The 24,289-nt window shown below is 43.0% G+C and overlaps 1 protein-coding gene across 3 annotated transcripts; it reads right to left on the bottom strand.

Moving 5' to 3' along the window:
* LOC124901993 (uncharacterized) lies at positions 11,679-20,817 on the bottom strand. Of its 3 annotated transcripts, XR_007061034.1 has the most exons (7): positions 18,630-19,485; positions 17,425-17,574; positions 16,183-16,422; positions 14,998-15,159; positions 14,780-14,886; positions 12,791-12,886; positions 11,679-12,186 (listed from the first exon to the last, which is right to left on the bottom strand). XR_007061034.1 is itself a non-coding variant. In XM_047422526.1 (6 exons), the coding sequence occupies exons 3-6, from the start codon at positions 17,532-17,534 to the stop codon at positions 12,146-12,148; spliced, it is 354 nt and encodes a 117-aa protein (XP_047278482.1). In that variant the 5' UTR covers positions 17,535-17,574; positions 18,630-18,865; positions 20,596-20,817; the 3' UTR covers positions 11,679-12,145. The 3 variants fall into 3 exon arrangements, 2 of the variants coding, with proteins under 2 accessions (XP_047278482.1, XP_047278481.1); XM_047422526.1 differs by lacking the exons at positions 14,998-15,159; positions 16,183-16,422 and adding an exon at positions 20,596-20,817 and having other exon boundaries at positions 18,630-18,865; XM_047422525.1 differs by lacking the exons at positions 14,998-15,159; positions 16,183-16,422 and adding an exon at positions 20,596-20,817 and having other exon boundaries at positions 12,810-12,886; positions 18,630-18,865.
* Between the last annotated feature and the right edge of the window lie 3,472 nt (positions 20,818-24,289).

Here is a 24,289-nt window from a genome sequence, read left to right as displayed (position 1 = left end):
AGCTATGCAAATGTGATTTGCACATAGGAAAGCACAATAAACAAACCAGGGATCTCCCGAGAAAGTACCAGAAGACGCCTTGGCTTAGAGAGCGCTGGGACAGCATTTCCCCAGGGCAAGGATCTGCTGATTCTGAGTGTCTGAAGAGTTGCTTTGCATGCGGCCTCAGCAGATGTGTCCATTTGCATGTAGGTAAATTTCCGCATGTAAGGTCTCAGTATCAAGCAGGTCTTCAGAGGACTGAATGTCACAGGATTAAAATCTAAAACTCATTTAGCATTCACCAGTGCAACCAGCTAATAGGCATCAAGATTTGCATCAGAGGATCAAGATCTGTAGTTGGTTTAATGGTAAGAAATAGTCTTAGAAATGCAGCTTAGAAAAAAATTTAGAGACATTTATAGCAGCCTCAGAGCTGCCCCCTTGGGCAGCTCTACAGTTTCTCACTCTATCCTCTGTACAGGAAGGGGTGTTCCCAGGGCCTACTTCCCTGTGGGCTCTGTCCACAGTGCTCTTCAGGGCTGCTCGTGGCTGGCTTAATGATGTTGAGCACTACTGGCTTTTCACAGGGACAGGGCTGCTGGACACCCTGCAATGTGCAGGACAGTCCTGCCAGGTGAAACTGTCTCTTCTTCTGCATGACTTTGGAATGTCTCACTGAAATTTTATGTACATGAACAACCTGCTGATAAACTTCTGAGCATAAAAGCTAATTCAGTTTGGTATGTAAACAAAATATTCAGTTTAATTCACACTGAATTTTTCAGCAATGCAAGTACTATGCAAACTGGGGAAAAGACTAGGCTTAGTTTTATTCAGAGCTTTGTTGGGAGTTGTTCACTATGTCAGAGAAACTTGAGGTTAACATGTGCAGCAGCTCCATTTGTGGGGTTCCATGTAGGAGGCCAAGTGTTTGCCTACTTCCTGTTGGCTTCTAGCAAAATCGGGCCTCCACCTCTGTCTACTGAAATACGTATTATTTTACGGTAAGTTACTATCTTTTTATTTCTTCTCTAAGGCATTGTGTTGATTTTTTGAAATTAGGCATATAGTTAGGTTATTATTCATTAATTTTGTTTCAGCCTAGTAAAATGGGGGAGGAAGGGGTACAGAATATTTCTTTTCTCCTTCCTTTCTTTCCCTTTCTTTCTTTTTCTTTCTTTCTTTCTTTTCTTTTTCTTTCTTCTTTTCTTTCCTTTCTTTCTCTTTCTTTCCCTCCCTTCCTTTCTTTCCTTCCTTCCTTCCTTCCTTCCTTCCTTCCTTCCTTCCAGGGTCTCACTCTCTCACCCAGGCTAGAGCACAATGCATGTTCACGACTCACTGCAACCTTGACCTTCCATGCTCAGGCAATCCTCAAGCCTGAAATTATTTCTTTCCTTTCTTTCTTTCTTTCTTTTGTTTTGTTTTGGTGGAGGACAGAGTTTCGCTCTTGTTGCCCAGGCTGCAGTGCAATGGCGCGATCTGGGTTCACTGCAACCTCCACCTCTTGGGTTCAAGCGACTCTCCTGCCTCAGCCTTCCGGGTAGCTGGGATTACAGGCATCCACCACCAAGCCTGGCTAATTTTTGTATTTTTAGTAGAAACAGGGTTTCCCCATGTTGGCCAGGCTGGTCTCACCCTCCTGACCTCAGGTGATCCACCCACCTTGGCCTCCCAAAGTGTTGGGATTACAGGCATGAGCCACTGTGCCCAGTCAAAAATATTTCTTATGTAACGGCCTCCATGTCTGACAGGGTAGAATACAGAGGGATGAATCTGGCCTTTCTCTCTCACAGCCTCAGCTTCTTCATCCCTTAAATGGAAAGAATGCCTAACTCATAGGGTGGGGCCTGAGAGTGTCTCTTTGGAGCTCAGAAAGGGACAGAGGATATGAGAGAAGCAGCATTTATTGAACACCTACTGTGCATCCAATTTTTTGCTCCTTGGATCCTTACAACAGCCTCAGGGACTAAAAACAATCACACTCATCATCCCCCTGAGGAACCAGGCTCAGAAAGAAGGTGTGTCTACGTGCATTCTGATCTTCCTGGGCCCCTTCCTCCATCAAAAATATTAACAATATTCTATTTTATGACTGCATTCGTATAAAGACAAATACATTGATATGTATTAAAACATTTTCTTCGACATAAAGTTATATATATATATATTTTGTAATTAAAAAAATAACATTTTTATGGGCTTCTAAGAGTATGGTGGGCCCTAGGCATGGTTCCTCCTGTGCCTGAGGGGTTAGTTGGTCCTGTGTGTCTGGTCCAAGGTCACAGAGCCCTAGTGGTAGTGCTGGGGTTTCAGTGCTCCCCATACCTGATGTGCTTTGGGGACCCCAGGCGAGGGGAGGGATGGAGCCAGGAGGGGGCAATGGGGAGAGGAGGAGTTTCCATAGCAACTTAGCTAAAAATGAAAATTCAAAATATGGGTATTTACTGGCTTCCTCTAGACGCTGTGTACTACTCGTGATAAAATAAAACCAGCATTCTTTTATACTTAGAAGGCAGGCAACCCTGCTCATAGGCAATACTGTAAAACAGATAAATAAGCAAGGGGTCCAGTAATCGCTTGACTCTCTAATAAGGCTTCCTTTAATCGTAGTTGGTCACTTTAATATTTACAAATTGCAGCTTAGGGTTGCACAAAAACATTTAAATTATGAGGAAAGTAATGAAAAAAGAAAAGTAGGTCATCTCTAACCTATTGAAACTTCATAGGAAAATAGGAGCTAAGTTCTAAAAGTTCAATCTAATGTAATCTTTTCAGAATACCTGTAGGGCAAAGGGTGCTGCTGTCCACCTGGAGAGGCACTGAGGGGCATGTGTATGTGAGTGTGTGTGTGTATACGCACATGTGTGAGGGGTATACCTTAGGTGTCAAGAACTTTCAAAAGGACTGAAACTGGTGGAGCTGGTTGAATCTCAGAGCCCCAGTGAGGCTGCAGTTGGATCCTCATGGTGTGAGGTTGACTTCCAAGGCAGAGCCCTCAGGCCTCAGACGGGTTCATAGAGAGCAGATTGAGGGGGCCAGGTACTCCTGGGGACTCACAGTCCACTGGTCTGGGAAAATTGGCATGGGGTGGGCAGCAGAGCACCCCCGTGGGCAGGCCTCGAGATGCTGAAGATCTCCTCAGTCAGTGCTCAGCATGCATGAAAATGACCTGAGTGGTCAGGGGAGTGGGAAGGAGGGAGGCAGGACAGGGCCAGGGTGAGTAGACCCCTGGAATAGCTCACTACATGAGCCTAGGGAAATTATTCAAAACCGGGGGCTTTAGAGCCATCCTCCACATTCAGTGGAATACGAAGTGAGTTGAATGGTGGCCCCTAAAAGATATGTCCATGGCCTGGAATCTGCACATGTGACCTTATTTGGAAAAAGGATCTTTGCGGATATTATTAAGGATCTTGAGATGAGATTATCCTGAATTACCTGGGTGGGCCCATAATCCTATCAAAACACAGAAGAGGAGAAGGCATAGACACAGAAGAGGAGGAGGCTGTGTGAAGACAGAGGCAGAGATTACAGTGATGTAGCCACGAGACAAGGAAGGCTGGAGGCCCCAGAAGCCAGAAAAGGCAAAGAAAAGTTCTGCCCTAGAGCCTTCAGGGGTAGCATGACCCTGCCGACATCTTGATTTCAGACTCCTGGCCTCTAGAACTGGGATAGAATAAATTTGTGGTTTTAAGCACCTTGTTTGTGGTACTTTGTTACAGCAGCGTTCTACTCTGCAGCCCAGCATGAGAACATTGAGCTGTCATCAAAGCCACAAGGTACTAAAACTGAAGATTTCACAGAAAGAAATCTGATCAGACCCAGGCTTTCAGGTGCCACCTGGGCTGGGAGGTCCGGTCCTGAGGTCAGTGCTGTCATGAGCCTGGGCTCGATCTTGTGACACTGGCTTTGCCGAGCCTCTGCTGGACACTGCCAGTGTGGGCCACTCTGTAATGTGGGGCCTCAGCAAGGTCCTTGCTGGTGGGATTGAACAGAAAGAAGCTCAGTGTCTCTCTCACACATAAGTTACGTGACTGCATCTCTATTAAATGCTTTTATTTTCTCCCAGGCTTCACTTTATGAATGGGATTTTAATAGCTGAAATTATTGGATCTAGAGATGTACTATAATATCCATTGTCATTTTAAGAAGCTACCTTTCCATTAAGTGGCTTTGAACCCTGTGACAAGCACCTGGTGGCAGTGTCCAGGCATCGGTGGAAGCGGCACTAAGAGCGGCTTAGTGCTGTAGCCATGCTTACTACTCCTTCCCCCAAGCAGAGTGACCAGGGATGCGGGGTCAGAGCAGCCACATAGCCAGGGCTGCCCAGCTACGGAACTGGGGGCAGAGGCACTGGAGACACTTTGCAGCAAGCACAGAGAACATCATACTGCTGGCTAGAGCCAGAACCCTGGACCCAGATGTGGGACCCAGTCCCACACCTATCACAGGAAAGAGGAAACCCCAGGTCTTGGGGAGCCCCACAGTGGTGGAGGTCACAGCCACACACTTACATTTTGGCTTACCTGGAATTAAAAGATGGGGATCGATGTATGCCTGGCTTAGGCTAAGCAATTTGAATGCATTATCTCTTATAATTCTCACCCAAACCCTTTAATCCCATCCTATTTATTTATTTATTTATTATTTATTTATTTTTCGAGATGGTGCCCAGGCTGGAGTGCAGTGGCATGGTCTCGGCTCACTGCAACCCCCGCCCCCCAGGTTCAAGCACCTGAACTCAGGTGATACACCTGCCTCGGCCTCCCAAAGTGCTGTAATTACAGGCATGAGCCACCTCACCTGGCCTAATCCGATTTTATAGAGGAGAAAATGGAGACTTGGGAAGTTTGAGTAACCTGCTTATGCTCCTGTAACCCCCCTGTCAGCTAGGATTTGCATTCAGATGGGTCTGTGGCCAGAGCCCAAAAGCTCAAACTGCCTCTCACTGGGCGAGGAGTGCCCAGTCACTGAAACTGTTCCTTGCAGTTTTTTTCTATGTCTTCTGTTACCCTTATTGCATTGTATACTGATTTGCTGTATGAAACTGAGCATTCTAAACCTAAGTCACACCGATTGACGACTCAGACTTCTTGACAACTGGGCTGAGCTCTCACACGGTGACGCACTTGGGGGCTCTCTGTTCCTGCTCTATTTAGTCCCAGTCTTCAAGTTTTTCTTTCTGTTCTTTGGGTTTTTCTGTTCCAGTCTTACTACCATCTTTCTGAACTTGAGTCTATCTTTGTACCTGCCTCTAACAATATTTCCCTCTTCCAAATAGTTATTTTTTAACCTGTTATATTAGAATTATGTCTAACATAAGAGCAAATAGACCTTCCATAAGAAGCTTGGTGTCTCTCTCACAAATAAGCTATGTGAATTCATCTCTATTAAATGTTTTTCTTTTCTCCTGTGCTTCACTTTATGAATGGGATTTTAATAGCTGAAATTATTAGATCTAGAGATGTACTATAATATCCATTGCCATGTTAAGGAGCTACCTTTCCATCAGGTGGTTCTGAACCCAGTGACAAGCACCTGCTTTCAGGAGCCAAGAAGTCCCTGGCAGAGTGCAGAGGCTCTCAGGTAAGGATTCTGGAGTGCTGATCCATTCTTCACTGAGGTCTAAGGAGAGCAACCTGATATCTAATCGCCGCCTAAGAAAGTCGCCTGAAATATTTGTGTCTCCTTGTTCATATAAGGAAATAGAGTTCAAAGAAATCAAATCTGAACCCATCGTTTTACTCCAAAATACAGTAGTTGATAGGGAAACGAAATCCCACCTTTTACCTCGTCCCTTGTGACACAATATCGCCACCTGCTGGCCAAAACATCACAGCGCAATTGTGTGCATCAATAGTTTGTTCAGAATGTGTATTAGCTGTCAACCTTGAAATACAGATTACAGCACTCTGTGTTCCAATCCACAACTTAGCACGCTAATTCTAAACTTCACGAAGCCAAGTATCAAGCCCCAATTACACTGCTTTTCTCCAGAAATATGCTTTCTTTTAAAATCAGAAATTACAATATTAAATCTTTTATGTTCTTAATTTACTTTAGCTTTTACATTTAATAAATATAAATTATGAAAAAAATATTATAATAGGTGTGTTGTCTGATAGTAGGCAGAAAGCACAGTGTGTGCCAAAGAGAGACCTGGTTGCATAATCCCGCTGTCCCACTTATTGGCTATGTAAATCTGGGCCTCAGTTTCTTTATTTGTAAAATGGAAATAAGAATACGTAACATAGAGTGCAGTCATGCAAAACAAATAACATAAATTTGGTACCTAGAACATGTGATTGAGGATATGCTGATTTAGTCTCCTTTTATTAAAGAAATGATCATATTGTTAACTAAATATGGACACACCCACCACCTTTCCTCTAAAACTACTACAAGAGAAATATGATTTGAAAGCATAAATCTCATACAAGACTCTAAAAGCAAAAGCAGAACTCAGATGGCAGAATAGTTTATTTTGTGTTTGTTTATTGACTTTATGGTTCATTACAATAACTTTCACTGAATAGCTTCAAAGGAAAAGAATTTAGTGCAATAAGGTTCTGCTATTACAAACATACATTTCATTTTTAAAGTGAATCAAAAACTTTTGTCTGAGGAAGTAGAGGACTAAAAGCTGAGTGAATAACCTCTATGAGCTGTCAAAGCAAGCAAGCCTCCAAGGGGGTTCTTGTGCGTGAGTTTTCAAAAGAAAAATACTGCATTCAGAGAGCAGAGGTAACTTTGCCTGGCTATCTTTATCTGATATTCTGACATGAAATGCCTCATTCTCAAAGTATTATAATTGTTTTATTTTAATTCCATGGCTCGATACAGTTCCTTTTAATGTTGTATTGGTGAATAAGGTGGATTCTAAAGTCAGGTTCAAACCTTGATCTTGAACAAACTACCTAAATTCCCTACACCTTGCTTGTAAGGTTACTGCTGAAGTTTGATGAAGCAATGCATGCAATGGCGTGTGGTTGGAACAATGCTGGGAATAAAGTAAGTGCTGTATTCATATCAGATAGCGTATATTTAAGAGCAAAGAATATTACCAGGGATTTTAAAAAGTCATTTCTGGCCAGGTCCAGTGGTTCACACCTGTATTTCCTAGCACTTTGGGAGGCAGAAAGGTCTCTTGAGGCCAGGAGTTCAAGACCAGCGTGGGCAACATAGAGAGACCCCTGTCTCTACAAAATACAAACAAAAATTTAAAAAAATAGCTGGGCATGGTGATGCAAACCTATAGTCCCAGCCACTCAGGAGGCTGAGACAGGAGGATCGCTTGAACCCAGGAGGTCAAGGCTGCAGTAAGCAATGATGGCATACCTGGATTCCAGCCTGCATGATAGAGTGAAACCCTGTCTCTAAAAAAAAAGAAAAAACAAGGTCATTTTTTAATGATAAAGTGGTGAATTCACCTAGAGGACATAACAATTCTAAATGTTTACACAGCTAATAACAACAGAGATTTTATTGATTGGTTTCTGGATGTATGCATATTTAAAATTTATCAACTCATATGCTTTAAATATGAGTAATTGTACATCAAGCATACCTCAGTAAAACTATTTTTAAAAAGTGACATAAGATAGATGCAGGGTGGTTGGCAATATGACTGTAGATATAGCCTGATTTGAGAGGCATCAGGACACTTTCACTTCCCTATCCCAAAAGACTACCATGTCGTTTTTATGAATGCCTGAAATTACCTCATCATAGTTTCATTCTTTGGGAATAAAATCATATTCCCTTTTCAAATGCAAAGAAGAGTAACTCTTAATGTGACATTGGTTGTTTTAGTACCTCAATCAAAGTGAACTTTTCAAATTATTTCCATTTTTCTAAGGGCCAACTTGGATAAGGATGAAGGGGAGGAGAGATCCTGATTATAGGTGTAGTACACACACCTGCTATTTCCACCCACCCGCTATCCATTCTACTTTCTTCTCATAATAAAACCCTAGTTTTCCTTTGAGGACACTGCATCTCCTCGACTCTCAGTCCATGTGACTTTGGTGGGGTTGACCCCACCCTTCCCCCCAGTCATAGACATTGAGCAAGAAATGGATCAAGCCAATTATCTTGATGAACAATCTTCACACCCAACGATCTTGGGCAGTATCCTTCACTGTTTCAGAGTTGATCTGTGTGGCCAACAGAATAATGCAGAAATGATAGCATGTACTCAAAGTCAATGGGATTCAATTCCAGGGATTTTCTTGGAGATATTGGGAAAAATAAGGCCCTTTATTTTAGACTTGAAATGTAGAAGCCTGGAGCTTTTGAGATCCATCTTCCTATATAGGGATAGTTTGTGAATGAAGGCAAACCAAGAGAGGGAAGAGAGCACATCAAACTAGATATTGTTACAGCATTTGGGCACTGTGGTAAGCAGTCTTCAATATGGCCCCAATCCTTGTCATCTGGTGTTTACAATCTTGGGTAGTATCCTCCTACACTGTTTCAGGGCAGGTCTGCGTGGCTAAAAGAACAATACAGAAATGATGGTATATGGCTTCCAAAGATAGACCATCAAAGACAATGTGGTGTCTGCCCTACTCTCTTGGATCACTTACTCTGGGGAAAGCCAGTCGCGTGTCAAGAGGAAACTAGAGTCCTCTGGAGGGGCCCAGTTAGGGAGGAACTGGGGCTGTTCACCAACAGCTAACACTAACCAACCATGTGACTGAGTCATCTTAGAAACAAATTTTTTGGCCCCAGTCAAGTCTTCGGATGATATAGCCATAGCCTATATCCTGACTGCAGCCTCATGAGAGAACCTACACAAGAACTGACCAGTTAAGCTGCTCCTAAGTTCCTCACCCACAGAAACCATGAAAAAAATGATTGTTGCTTTTTTCAGCCACTCAGTTTTGGGATACCTTGTCATGCAGCAATAGATAACGAATACAAGTATCACTGTCACTGCCATGCCTGGAATGTTCAAAGCCAGACCCTAGGCCAAGCATAGTATGATGAAAAAAATCACTGGTCTTCCTTCCCAAACTCTCCAAGCTCGTTCCTGCCTAAAGGTGTTTGTACTTGCTGTTTTCTCTGCCTGGAAAACATTTCCTCCAAAACTTTCCATGGCTGCCTGATCATTTAGGCCTCAGCCCTTGTGTCACATCCTCAGAGAGGCCTTCCCTCAATACTACATGGAAAAAAAGTGTCCCCTCTCCCAGTCACACTCTATCACATAGCCTTATTTGTCTCCCTAGAACTTGGCACATTATGCAATTATCTTGTTTATGGATTTGTTTACTTGTTATTATGTGCCCTCCTCCAGCAGACCATAAGTTTCACAAGAGTAGCAGCTGTGTCTGAATGGTTCACCACAGTATTCCCGATGCCTAGAACATGGTCAGTAACTGCTTTTTCAATGAAAAATATTTGAGTTCCACTCTTTGCTCATGGGTGACCTTGTCAAGTCATGCCCTCCCTGCCCAAGGTTGTTGTAAAGGTGAAATGGAATCACATATGTGAAATTACCTCATACACTTCCCGACACATGGGACATCTTCAAATGTCTTAGCCTACCTTCCCTAGAAAACAGGCTGAGACAAAGCTTAAGTGCAATGCTTTATTGCAAGAAAACCCTAGGGCTGGGAAAATGAGGGGAAAGGAAAGAAAGGCAGGGAAGAGTAAGAAGCCAATATAGAGTAGTGCTACTGAGAGGCCCACTGCTTCACAGATACAGCCAGCCACCTGGCCATGGGAGACATCTCCAGGTAAGCTGTAGAAGAACATTACCCTTCAGAACAGTCCCTCACTGAGAGGAATACAGAAGTATTTAGTCCATCCGTTTACACTGTAACATGCTTCGCCTTGGTCAAAGTGTGCCCCAAGAGGAGTTACCTCCCTTCTACTTTGGGGATTCAGAGTTACCTCCCTTCTACTTTGGGGATTCATCACGTAGTCACCAAGGAAGCCAGACTCCACCCCCTTTGGTGTGGCACTTCATCTGAGGCCAAAAGTGATGTATGGACCCAGAGACTCTGGGCTCTAGTCCCCAAGGGTCCCGAAGATAGATGAGGTTGAGAGAGTCTGAAGCAGTCCAGGTGTGTCTGATACATCAACAAATGCCAGTGAGTCCTGCATGTGGGCAAGAACTGAGACCAGGACCCAGTCCTGGGACTGAGGCACATAGGGGTCAGGGATGGAGGAGAGTTTGATCACAGGTTAAGAGGCTGCACATTAAAGCAAGGATGTCAAGAGTGTCCAAGAATCTGAGAGGAGGGCAGATCTGGTTCTTAGTCATCTGTCCTCAAGATCCTCATGGCCCTGCAGGTCCAGTCATTAGTCTTCCCTGCTGGTGTCTCTGTGGCATCTGAGTTTTCCATCTGCTCCCTGGTCATCTGTCTTTTCCCACACCCTGCATCCCCCTTATCCTAAGCACAAGGCCCTCTCAGGTTCTCTAGCCCTCTCCCTTGGGCATCTGACACTTCCTTGGGGAATCCCAGAAACTTTTGGATGTTTGTTTGTGCTCTCTTAGGAAATGAGAAATGCAAAGGCCTATGATATGGTTTGGCTCTGTGTCCCCACCCAAATCTCATCTCCAATTGTGATCCCCACGTGTTGAGGGAGAGACCCGGTGGGAGCTGATTGGATCATGGGGGTGGTTTCCCCCATGCTGTTCTTGTGATAGTGAGGGAGTTCTCACGCGATCTGATGGTTTAAAAGTGGCAGTTTTCCTTGCACTCTCTCTCTCCTGCCATCTTGTGAAGAAGGCACTTACTTCCCCTTCACCTTCCACCATGATTGTAAGTTTCCTGAGGCCTCCCCAGCCATGTGGAACTGTGAGTCAATTAAACCTCCTTCCTTCATAAATTACCCAGTCTCAGGTATTCTTTATAGCAGTGTGAGAATGGACTAATATAGCCTATCTCAGACCATTTCCTCCTGGACACATAGGCTGCCATTTCTAGCTTGTCATACCCATACTCTCATAAGAGACTTATCCACAAGACTCTCCTGGGAAGAGAGGTCCAGGTCTGCTCTGCTCCTGCTCCTGAATATTACCAAACCTACTCAGGATTTTTAACATGCATACCCTGACCCTGGGTCTCAACCCAGGAGGACCCTTTGCAGAGTTGTATACGAGTTTCTAACCCCATTACTCTTCTCTCGGACTTATCTCTCTTTTCCAGCAATCATTAGAACTCTTCACGTATTTTATCTCTTGTTTATATTTATAAATATATATGTTTTGCTCTTGAGTTCTTTAGGTATGGTTTCTGAGGCTCAAAGCCTGGTACTTGTAATTTCATATTTTTTTGTCTCCAAGATATGCTCATTACCAAATGTTTTGATAGTTTATTTTAAAACTCAGTTGACACTTTTTTCTTTTCTCAGCACATTTGCTGAGTCTTTTTTCCCATGAGGCAAAACTTCCATTTGGTCTCTTACATTGCCCAGCACTTGCAGTTAGGCAGGGCCACTTGACCAGTTCTGGCCATGAAATATGGGTGAAAATAATGACTGCCACATACCTACATCCATGTACAATTTTATGTGCTTTCTTCTGCTGTGCCTATCAAGGAGGACATGCACTCAAATGATACAGCTACAAGGTGACGGCACCTGCTTTAGCCTGAGTCCTGAGTGACTATATGGCGCAAAGTCCTTCACTGACCCACAATGAACATGTAGCATGAATGAGAAATAAACTATTGTGTGTTTAACCATTGAGATTTTTGCAGCTGTTTATTATTGCAGCACAGTCTGGCCTATCCTGACTAATACCATAGGCTGGAATGCTCTTACACATTGATTGAGGAAGTATCAGGAATATAATGAGATTCTTGAGGGAAAAAGAAAACAAACAAACAAACCTTGGTTGATACTATAAACTATTATCCCATTACAATTTTATAAGTCAAGGATGTTATTCAAAATATTGAATAACCTGTATAGCATGAGTCCAACTAATCAGAACAGTCACAAAAACAAATCAGAAGAGATATCACCCAGTAGAGTATGCAGGGAGGTGTCAGCTGAAGATCCTTGGCATGTTGTCAGAGCAATATGAGCATTAAATATCTTGAATATGGAATAAGTGAATGAGCAATAAGGCTGATTATAAGCTGAGTTCATGGCCTCTGCATCTAAAATTTACTTAAAACAAAGAAGGTGGACTCCAGAGTCTGGAAGGTTAAATGGATGCATTTCCCTGGCTGTTCCTTCTGCTCCAACCTGAAAAAAAAATAAAGCAACTGAATCTCAGCATCTGTATCTGCTTATCTATTTTATGGCCAAATCATTTCTTATCTGTTAACATTTAGCCTGCTCGAAAATGTGGCCATTTATATGTCAACATATTTATTGATATGTTTTCAAGTGTACTTCTAATTGTTCAGAATGTCAAATTCTTTCTGGGAAGCTCAAATAATTGACATATTCCTGCCACTATGGATAATCAATAGTCTAGTGATGCCCTAAGTAACAAACTGAGAGACCGAGAAGACCTCCTGAACCATGAGAGAAAGATTCAAGAATGTTCTGGGTGGTTCTAAGGTTAAGTACACACTGCTGTGGGCTTACTTGGACACGGGCCATTGTTATATGATTGGAATATTTGTCCCCTCCAAAACTCATGTTGAAACTTGAACACAAATGTTTCAGGATTGAGAGGTGATTGGATCATGAGGGCTCTGCCCCAGTGAATGGATAAATCCATCATGGATTAATTGATTAAAGGGTTAATGGATTAATGAATTATCATGGGAGTGGAATGGATGGCTTTATAAGAAGAGGAAGAGAGCCTGGGCTAGTACACAAACGCACTCAGCCCACTTACCATGTGATGCCCTGCCTACCTCAGGATGCTTCAGAGTCCCCACCAGTAAGAAGGCCATCACCAGATGCAGGCCCTCGACCTTGGACTTCTCAGCCTCTGTAAGTGTAAGAAATAAATTTTTTTCTTTATAAATTACCCAGTTTCAGGTATTCTCTTATAAGCAACAGAAAACAGACTAATATAGTGATTACTAATGCCATTTTAGTAATTTTCATCTAGCCAGAAGAAACAATTCACAAAGAATCTCATATCTCAACCATTGAAAGAAATGGAAGTTTTCCATAGTGTGGCCAGTGAAAGCTTACATATTACAAGAGACTATGAACCTGGAAATAACTGAATGGCTGAAATTATGTGCAAAAATTCTGTCTTTGTACTTACATGCTTGGCATATTACACATGCATTTCTAGCTTTATACATGCCCCAAGAATATTTTTAGGAGATGAATAAACCCCAACTTGCAAAGACAATTTCCTTGCAAAGAAAGGACTTTGTCTGACTAATCCAAATGGCAAAATAAAAACAGGAGACAGAAAGATGAGTCTTTAAATCTTAAAAACACTTGAATTGTAGTTAAAAGAAAATCAAAGCCTCAGATGGTAGAGTGTTGATGCATTTAGATGAAAATTAAAATGAAGAATGAAGAAAGCACTAAGTAATCCTCTTCTGGTTGAGTCAAAGGATTTGCTTCCTGAAATTCAAGTGATGATAGAAGGAGGGAGTACATGGTCTAGTGTCTGAGCTTGGGGAGGAGTGTGGCAGGAATGTTGTCCTGACAGCAAGGTTGGAAGGGGAAAAGAAAGCTTGCTTGGCAAGCTTGGTCAAAGCTTGTTTGTTGGGAAATCAATGTAGGCAGGGAAGGAGAAATTTCTGGAACAGAGATTCCTTAACTTGGAGGAGCAACAGCTGCCTCCAAAGATCCAACTGTCCTTTCATTTATTTTAGAAGAGATAAAGAATGACATATATTAAAAACTAAAGAGACTTAGGGTTGAATGAGAAGATCTGCAGTCAGAAAATGCAGATACCAGAATTTTGTAGCTACTTGCAATTTATTTTATAGAAAGCTTTTAAATATTGGGAGCAGCTTATCTTTTTTTTCCAACATGGAGAAGATTAAATGGAGAGGATGGAACTGGAATTTTTTTGCAACTTCTATTTCTCTATTTCAAAGCTGCTAACAAGTCTGTCATAAACACCAGCTGGGCTGCAGCTGGAACAAATTCGGTCTATGGGTCATTCTCGTGAGTATTTGAGCAAGCAACCTTGCCATATGACTTTTCATAAGCATAAAATCTGGAATTGTAAAAGAAACTGAAATCAACATTTATGGAGTGGGTCTAAAGGGCAGGCCCTGCAGACCTGAAGTGTAGGTCACATGTTGCTGCAAAGATTCCTTCCTCTCTACTCCTGGCAACTGTCCCCACTCCTACTCCCATGCCCTATCCTTGCTCTTTTCTCCTGGTCTCTCAAGGTCTCATCCTTCTCTCACTATCTGCCACAGATGTCCAAAGGGACTGAGAAAACTCCACTATTATGAAGAATGAGAGAAGGGAGATTGAGGAATAACTAGCCATCTGCCAATCACATCATGCTCTTGTTAAGTGTCTTGGCATCAGAGAAGGTACTTCATTCTAAATCACTTTTGCATTCCCAGAACCTAGTCTAGTGCTTGGCGCATAGTAGGTGCTTAGTAAATGCCTGCCAAATAAATTACTATCATGTAAGAGAATTGCAGAGCACAGATTTTTAGTGTAAACTTTGTGAGGATAAAAATAAAATGCCTTTTAAATAAGTAAAGCATTGAAGATACTCATTATTTGTATCCTAATCTAGTACTCAAAATGCAGATGACTTCTTATTTCTTTAAAAGAGGGGAAAGCTTTACATTAAAACAACAGACAAGAGGCAGAAAATGAAAAGACTAATAGGCCTAAAGTTAGGCGTAATCCCACCTTCTTGAGTTTTAATTTCAGTCTCCTTACTTACCCAAGAAGGCATCTGTCATCCCTGAAGCCTTAGAAGGAAGTTTATCCTTCCTTAGAACCAGAAAATAATGGGTACAATTGTCTGCTGGTCCCAGGGAAAGGGTGGCACTAATAGGGGAAAGGAGAGAGGGGTGATAAGGTTAATCTTAGACTAGTAATTTTCAGGAACATGGCATCAAAGAAAACACCATTGGTTTCCTAACAAAGAGCTTAAGTCACCTTTAAAGCAATAGTGCAACACCAACATGGAATTCAGTCTCCTCCCAGGAGGTTTTGTAGCTTCCACTAAAAGCAGGTCTTGGAAAGGCTCCCTCCAGAGTTCTGCCAAGCTCTCTCCCTCTGGCTCTTGTGGTGTGCTTTCCTTTGCTCCTCACAGAGCCCCTGGTCCAATGGGAAGCACAGACAATTACAATTCAGAGTGATGGACAGACGACACCCTGGAGTGTGGCCAAGGCATCCAGGGCTCACAGGGATGTTGGTGTGCAGAGTGGCTGGGAGGCTTCACGGAGCAGAGCTTCAGGAGAGATTTAGAGGGCAAGCAAGAGTTATCCAGCCAGGTAATGAGGAAAGGAGGAGACCCAGACCTGAACAAAGACAAAAAGCAGGAGAGAGTATGGCATACCCGGGGAACTCCAGATGGCTCAGTGAGATCTGTGAGGAAGGTGCCACGTGGGGCAAGGGCTAGGCTCACCATGCCAAGGAGTTTGGATCTCATCTGTTAGTGATAGGCAGCCACTGATGGGCTTTAAGAGGAAGAATAACATCATTGGGTTGTGTCAAGAAAACCTTCTGGCAGTCATATGAGGCATAGAAAAGGGAAGATTGGGGACTAGAAAACTAGTGAAATTGTTCAAGGGACACAAAGGAACATCTGGCCAGGGCAGGAGCAGGTAGGATCAGAGTTGGGAGGACAGATCTGGGAGCTTAGAGGAAACCTGGCAGGCTTTAGACAATGATGGTCTCCAAGGGAGTGAGGGAAGCAAAGGAGGCAAGGGTAGCTTTCAGGGCTTCTAATAGGAGCCGTCTGAAGCTTGATGGTGCCATTACACCTTAGAGGAGCAGAACTAGGAACACAGATACTTCAGAAGTGACAAGCCTGGTTTTGTTAGATCAAGTTTGAAGTATCTGTGGGACATCCAGGTAGAGGTGTCCAGTCGGCAATGGGTACTGAGGTCTGTAGCACAGGAGAGACCGGGCTGGTGAGGGACACCTGACACCTCTCTGAGTTCAGGTTCTCAGGAGTAAGGCCCCAAGTTGAGGATTCATGTACAAGTGGTTTATCACAGAAGTCCTCCTGGAGGAGACCAGTGAAGGAGTGAGGAGCACGGAAGGGAAATGGAGGGAGCTCAGTGTATTGGTTTCCAAGAGCTGCCATGACAAAGTAGCACAAATTGGATGGCTTACACAACAGAATCATATTGTTGAAAGTCCAAGACGAAGGTGTCAGCAGGGTTGGTTCCTTCTGAGGGCTGTGAAGGAGAATTTGCACCCTGTCCCTCTCCTGGCTGCTGGTGGCTGCTGGCAGACTTCAGTATTCCCCAGCTGGCAGATGCATCACTCCAATCTCTGTCTTCGTCTTCACACAGTGTCCTCTCTGTGTATGTGTCTGTGTCCAAATGTCTTCTTTTGATAAAGACTCTAGCCCTATTGGATTAGAGACCCATCTACTCCAGTATGACCTCATCTTAATTTAAGTAATTATATTTGCAACAACCCTATTTCCAAATGAGTTCACATTCTAAGGTAGGGGAGGTTAGGACTTCAACATGAAAATTTGGGTTAGATACAATGCACCCCATAACATGAAGCAAGGTGAGATCTAAGGAACAGGCTTGCAAGGGGAAGCCTCAGCCTTGCTCCCTTGGGAAACGGTTGGTAAGAAATGCCTCAGAGTCACCCCGATTTGAGCTGGGCTTTCATGCTCCTGGGCTGACAGTCAGCAGTTAATGGTCTCAGGGCTGTGGAGGGAGAAATGGAAACTGCTAGTCGCCTCTAGAACTGTGTGTATCTTTGTGTGGTTAAAAACACAGTAAAAGACTTTTTAGGGCCGGGCACGGTGGCTCATGCCTGTAATCCCAGCACTTTGGGAGGCCAAGGCAGGCGGATCACCTGAGGTCGGGAGTTTGAGACCAGCCTGACCAACACAGAGAAACCCCGTCTCTACTAAAAATACAAAATTAGCTGGGCATGGTGGCGCGTGCCTGTAATCCCAACTACTCAAGAGGCTGAGTGAGGCAGGAGAATCACTTGAACCCGGGAGGCAGAGGTTGCAGTGAGCAACCATTGCACTCCAGCCTGGGCAACAAGAGCTAAATACTGTCTCAAAGAAAAAAAAAAAAAAAGCACTAACATTGTCCACTACAGTGGTCATTAAGATTGAAGGGTTAATTTGCCATGGGAATGGCTGAAAGCCAAGACCCATATTCCAGAGGCAGGAAGAACAAGAGGAACTTATGAAGGAGAAAGGAGATGGGCAGAGGACCCAAGAATTCAGTTAATGAAGATATTAAACCAATTGCGCTAGTTTTGTAGTAACTTTGGATCCCAACGCAAAAATCAAGACAGCTGACCAACCAGATATAGAGGGAGACAAAGGGACACTTTTGAAATGAAGATTGAAAAATCTGGGCCATGTCGTTGTTATACCTGGGTTTAATGTGTGCTGGAAACCTGGCTGATGGAGCCTCAGGACCAAGATGAAGAAGATGAAGCCTCCTATTTCCATCTGTTGATCCCATTCCATGATGGTCAGCCATATTGGAACATTCACATTTCCCAGCGTCTGGATTCTGGCTCCTGCGGAGTTGAATAGTAAACAGCACTGAGCACTCTGGTGGTGACCGTAACCAGAGTCATCTGAAAAAAATCATAAAGTAAAACCACAAAGCTCTGATTTGAAAAACATCATCTAAGACAAGAAATCTATTCGATGTCTGAACATACTCATCATCTCTGCAGGCCTGGCCAGCCGACTTTCAATCAAACTACAATGTCTAACAAAATGTTTCTCTGTTTTTAAGAAAAACAACAACAATAAAAAAATCTCTTCAGAGACAGAACTATCCAGGAGATCGAAGTTGTGAGAACAAACATTATTTTCACATATTTCTTTTAAAAGGAGACATACTTCTCAGGATAGTTCCCTAAATAAATAATTATCCAAAGGGCACCTTCTTCACCCTAGCCTTCTTTTTTTTTTTTTTTTTTTGAGACAGAGTCTCACTCTGTTGCCCAGGCTGGGGTGCAATGGCACGATCTTGGCTCACTGCAACCTCCACCTCCTGGGTTCAAGCAATTCTCCTGCCTCAGCCTTCTGAGTAGCTGGGATTACAGGTGCCCATCACCACACCCGGCTAATTTTTTTTGTACTTTTAGGTGAGACAGGGTTTCACCATGTTGGCCAGGCTGGTTTTGAACTCCTGACCTGGTGATCTGCCAGCCTTGGCCTCCCCAAAGTGCTAGGATTACAAGCGTGAGCTACTGTGCCGAGCCCACCCTAGCCTTCTGAATCTGAGACTCAGAGGGGTCCCAAGGAAAATCAGGTAGCTGCTACTTCAAGAAAGGGATGCTGGACTGGCAGGAGTGACAGATGTCCAGACACAGGATTTATGAGTGTCAGCTGATCATGACCAAGCATAGACCTCCCGTGGAGACAAACTGAAAGGCCATGTGGATCTAGAAGAGCAAGCAGCCCGCAAACATCTCAAACAGTGACACCATTTACAAAGGGCTGCCTTCTTGGCTTTCATACCTAGTCAGAAAGACAAAGAACTGCAATACTGCTGGCAGTTACTATTTAAGGATTTACTTGTCAAGTTGCTAAGGAAGTTGCAGAAACAGATGGACAATACCACTTAGGAGATGAAATCTTCAGAGTTCCTGAGGGTTATGGAGCCCCATTTCCATCCCTCCCTCATGCCATCTGGGCTTTGATGTGGGCTGTGACAAAAATACCACCACTTGACTGCAGAACTGCAGGATGTAAAATATGGCAATTTCACGGAGCTACATTGATAACATTCCTCAGTTGGTGTCTTAGCTGCCATATCTGTCTGACAACCTTGCCTTTCAATTCTTTCTGTGATACCTGGAAAACAAATATTTATGAAACGGAGAGAAGAAAGTATGAATTAGGAATATGCAATTGACATCAATATACACCAAACTCCAAGCTAGACACTGCCACATGTAATTTAATTTGATCTTCATAGTAATCCTGAAATGCTGATCAGAGAGGTAACTTTAAAAAAACTTAGTCTGTAGTTTGGGAGATAAAGCATACACAGAGAAAGGTTAAATGATGAAAACAACAGGTTGCAATAATAGAAAGGATTCATTCATTCGTTCATTCATTCATTCATTAATCAATAAACAATTACTGAGCACCTGACAGGCACTGTCCTAGGTACTGGACAAACCATGGTAAGGAGCTCACATTCTACTGAGGGAGACAGTCCGTGAACAACATCAACACGGAAAGAAGGTGGTGACAAGCGGGATGGTGGAAAGTGCTCTGGAGAACCAAAGGCTGCCAAGTGTGATGCCCAGTGAACTGCCATGAAGGGAGAGAGGAAGAGATGGGCTGAGCCTGGGCTGCCAAGGAGGACGCCTAAAGGAAGAGAACTCAACCTTGAACTTGAAGGATGAGTAAAATGTAAATGAGAAGAGTGCATTTATCTGTTCACCACTTAGGCAATATTTAGTGAGCACTACTGTCCATTAGAAATTCCAGTAACAATTAGGCTTTGTCCAGTAAACGATTATTACTGGAATGCCTGACAGAGAGATAGTTGCTCAATAAGTTAACTTAGCTTATTTCATGTGTGTGTGTATATATATATATGTGAAGTATATAGGCCAGGCTTGGTGGCTCATGCTTGTAATCCCAGCACTTTGGGAAGTCGAGGTGGGTGGATCACCTGAGGTCAGGGGTTCGAGACCAGCCTGGACAACATGGTGAAACCCCATCTCTACTAAAAATACAAAAATTAGCAGGGCATGGTGGCATACGCCTGTAGTCCCAGCTACTCGGGAGGCTGAGGCAAGAGAATTGCTTGAACCCAGGAGGCGGAGGTTGCAGTGAGCCGAGATCATGCCACTGCACTGGACGACAGAGTGAGACTGTGTCTCAAAAAAAAAAAAAAAAAAGAAAAGAAAAATATGTATCTCATATATATACATATAAAATATTTATAATCACATACACGTGTACACACACACACACATTCAGAGCTTATTATTATCTATCTACCAGGTGAAGTCCCAAGTGCTTTATATACTTTACTTCATTTCACCCCCAATGTACAAATGAAGAAACTGAATTATGGAGAGATTGAGTAACTCTAAGTCACAAAGCAACAGAGCTGGGATTTAAACCCAGGTAGTTCGGTTCCAGAGCGGCACTTTTAAGCAGCAGTCTGCAAAGTATGGCCCATGGACCAACTCCATTGCACTACCTGTTTTTATAAACACAACTTTACTGGAATATAGCTATACCTGTTCATATTATCTATGGCTGTCTTTGTGCTATAAGGACAGAGAGACCATATGGCCCACAAAGCCTAAAATATTTACTATCTGGCTCTTTATAGGCAAAGCTGGCCTTTAACTATCACACCACACTGCTTCCATGGATGGGGTGGAGACGGTGATAAAGTCCAGACCCTGCCCTCGAGAACATCACAGCCTAGTAAAAATAAGAAGCCATTTCAGTGCATCCTGCTCTCACTATATAACATAAAAATAACAATTAACAAAACAACAATGCAGCAATAATGACAATAACAGTAATCATAGCAACATTAGTTGAAGGCTTACTGCGTGCCAGCTGCAGTCCTTAGTTCTTCACACTTAGTAAGTCACTGAATTCTCCCAACGACCCCATGAAATCCGTCCTATCACTGTCCTCGCTTTATATAGCAGGAAACTGAAGCACAGAGTGTTTAACAGTGTTATCCATCACCCCCCGGGAGCACACAGACTGAACCAGGCATTCTGGGAGGGAGGTAGAATTCAGGGAGACAGAAAAGGCAGACACCAACTTAGGACAGTGGAGGCTTCACTGTCCATAAAAATTGATTTGGACTTTTTTCCTTGGTCAATTATAATTAGAAATATAGAAGATACATTTTACTGAGGGGCCTGATCATTAGAAGAAATCTCCTCTGGCAAAGTCTTTAGCAGTAAATCTCACCAGGAAGTACCCTACTTCATCGTCAAACCTCGGTTTCTCATAAGGAAATCTAAGGAGAGTCTCAGGAGATAAAGAATGCCAACAGCCCTGAAATCGCTGCTGTTGGCAAAAATTTTGCTTTAGAACAGCACCTGCCATCAATGGGTGCTCAATACACCCACTGAGTTTTATATTTTGTGATTGAGTTAGTTATATATTTTGTAATTGAGTTATATATTTCATGCACAGTTCCTGAATGGTCTTCTAACTAATCATTTCTGGTACCATGTCAAATGACGGGGCTCCTGTGCCATTTCACAATGAGGAGGAGTAAAGGAGCTGATCGCTATTCCAGTGCCAGGTGCTGGGCCGTGTACTTCAGGTACCCAGCACGTTACCAGGTTTAATACAAATGACAAAATACAGGATTTCTGCTTTCAGCTAGGGACCAGAATTACCTTCCTATCTTAACCAACTGAAAAAATGGACGAACGATATGAAACAATGTTCTTCAGACACTGAAACCTGGCCATATAGGTGATCACTGAGAAAAGGAAAACAAACAAGGTGTGTCCTATGAGTGCCTTAGCTCAGGACTTGGAGCAAGTTTACAGGCTACAGGGTAAGAAAGGTGGCCCCAGACAGAGCCCCGTGGTCCCCTGAGTTGAAGAAACTCAATTCCTAGTAAAGAGAGACAAAGGTGACTAAAATTTGTAGGAAAAATAACAGTGTGACATTATGGGATAACAAGAAATATATATATTTGATCTCTGCCTCCAGTTCCTGACATAGTGCTGCTGAAACCCTTGTAGATGGTGGTGCTAGGAGAGTCTTTTGTTCTAAAATTTGGTCTTTGACCCCAGTTCCCGACCTAGAGCTCCTGCGACCTTTGCAGTTTCCTAAGTGATAAGAATGTCTGACATAGAGCTCCTAAATCCCTTGGAATTTCCGGAGTGGTAGAAGCAACTTTTGTTCTGATTAGGCGATTCTTGGTGGGCTCCTGGATAGCCTGAGGATGGAAGCTTGTTGCTAGGGAAACCAACCATGTAAACAGAGGGTTGAAACTTTCAGTTCCATCCCCCAACCTCTGGGGAGAGTGAAGAGGCTGGAGGTTGAGTTGATCACCAATAGCCAATGAGGGAATCAATCATGCCTATGTAATGAAACCTCCATAAAAACTCACAATGATGGAATTTGGAGAGCTTCCGGATTGCTGAACACATGGAGGTGCCCGGAGGGTGGCACTCCCCTTCCTCCATATTTTGTCTCGTGCATCTCTTCCATCTGTCATTTGTCTGTATCCTTTGTAATATTCTTTGTTTTTGGGGGTTTTTTTTGAGGAATCTCACTCTGTCCCCAGGCTGGAGTGCAGTGGCGCAATCTTGGCTCACTGCAACCTCTGCCTCCCAGGTTCAAGCAATTCTCCTGCCTCAGCCTCCTGAGTAGCTGGGACTACAGGCACATGCCACCACGCCCAGCTAATTTTTGTAGTTTTAGTAGAGACGGGGTTTCACCATGTTGGCCAGGATGGTCTCGATCTCTTGACCTCGTGATCCGCCTGCCTTGGCCTCTCAAAGTGCTGGGATTACAGGCATGAGCCACCACGCCTGGCCTTGTAATATTCTTTATAATAAATGTGTAAATGTAAGTGAAGTGTTTCTCTGAGTTCTGTTGAGCCACTGTAGCAAATTAATTGAACCCAAAGAGGGGGTCATGGGAACCCTGATCTATAGCCAGTCAGTTGGAAGCACAGGTCACAACCTGGGGTTTGCTACTGGCATCTGAAGTGGGGGCAGGGACCAGCAGTCTTCTGGGACTAAGCTCTTCACCTGTGGGATTTGATACTATCTCCAGGTACATAGTGTCAGAATTGAATTGAATTATTGGACACTTAGTTGATGTCTACTGGATAATTGCTTGATGTATGGGGAGAAATCCCCATACATCTGATGTCAGAAATACAGTGTTGAGTGACTGTGCAAGAGAGTAGAAAGAAAAAAACAGGGTTTTCCCTCAAAACAAGGAGTGAGAGAGAGAAAGAACAGGCCGACGTTCTTCAGAGGGATCCCCTTGTATGTATGGTTGTGCTGTACTGATCTCTATATGCAGGGAAGGAGACCACTGAGAATGGGGAAAGAATCACTGAAAAGATGTAGGTGGAACAATTCCAACAGCTCACAGAGACTAGAATAGTTTATATGCACTAGCCTGAGTGGAAAAACCTCCAGATACATAGAGCATTGTACCCATAAGAAGGGTATTGCTTCATAGTGGGACCAAATAAATCAAGAAGTCCTAAAGATTGTTCTGAACTCCCCTTCCTAACAAAGCTTAAAAGCAAGACTTGAAACGTTCAAACTATTTCCAAGTAACTGCATCTCAGAACAGAGCCCAGCAATATTTAAATAATAGTTTAAAAATACTGAGCATTTAACAATGTAAAATTATCATTGTCTAGCACCCAGCCAAAAATTATCAGGCATGAAAAGAAGCAGGAAAATACAACCCATAGACAGAAGGAAAAAACAATCAAATGAAACAGACATAGAATTAAATTAGCATACACGGGTGTTAAATGAGATATTATAAATATACTTCATATGTTCAAAAAGTTAGAGGAAAATCTGAACATCATAAGGAGAGAAATTAAATACACATAAAGGACATAAATAGAACTTCTTATAGATGAAAAATACATTATCAGAAAAGAAAAAACACTGGCTTGGATTAATAGCAGATTAGACACTGGAGAAGTAAATACTAGTGTCTTTAAAGACAGAACAATAGAAATTACACAAAATGAAACCCAGAGAGAAATACGATTTTAAAAAGTATGTAAGAACTGGGCACAGTGGCTCAGGCCTATAATCTCAGCACTTTGGAGGCCAAGGCAGGCAGATCACTTGAGCCCAGGAGTTGGAAACCAGCCTGGGCAACATAGCAAAACCTCATCTCTTCAAAAAATAAAATACAAAAATTAGCTGGGTGTGGTGATGTGTGCCTGTAGTCCCAGCTACTCAGGAGGCTGAGGCAAGTGGATTGATTGAGTCCGGGAGGTCAAGGCTGCAGTACGCCCTGACTGGGCCACTGTGCTGTAGCCTGGGTGACAGAACAAGACCCTGTCTCAAAAAACAAACAAACAAAAAAAATAAGAACTGAGTATCAGTGACCTGTAAGACAATATAAAATGACCTTGTAACTACAATTACATTTACACGTCGTTACTTGTAATAACAATTACATTTACATGTAATAAACACATGTACATGGAATGCCATATGAAGAGCAGAGAGAGGTATTAAATTCCTTGGTTAAATTTTATAAAATATGTACAAGACA

The sequence above is a fragment of the Homo sapiens genome, chromosome 8 (genome assembly GCF_000001405.40).
Source record: "Homo sapiens chromosome 8, GRCh38.p14 Primary Assembly".
Classification (NCBI taxonomy): domain Eukaryota; kingdom Metazoa; phylum Chordata; class Mammalia; order Primates; family Hominidae; genus Homo; species Homo sapiens.
The sequence above is the reverse complement of the archived record's forward strand: the minus strand, read 5'-3'. Positions and strand labels throughout refer to the sequence as shown.

What these genes read in the sequence shown, in the direction of transcription:
- LOC124901993 (XM_047422525.1), bottom strand. Translation starts at nt 17,534, where the DNA reads ATGGCTGACCATCATGGAATGGGATCAACAGATGGAAATAGGAGGCTT. An exon ending in CCAGCACACATTAAACCCAG is followed by an intron (nt 14,887 to 17,424) that starts GTATAACAACGA and finishes TTCCCCTATTAG; the next exon opens with TGCCACCCTTTCCCTGGGAC. An exon ending in GGACTCTGAAGCATCCTGAG is followed by an intron (nt 12,187 to 12,809) that starts GTAGGCAGGGCA and finishes TTTTTTTTTCAG; the next exon opens with GTTGGAGCAGAAGGAACAGC.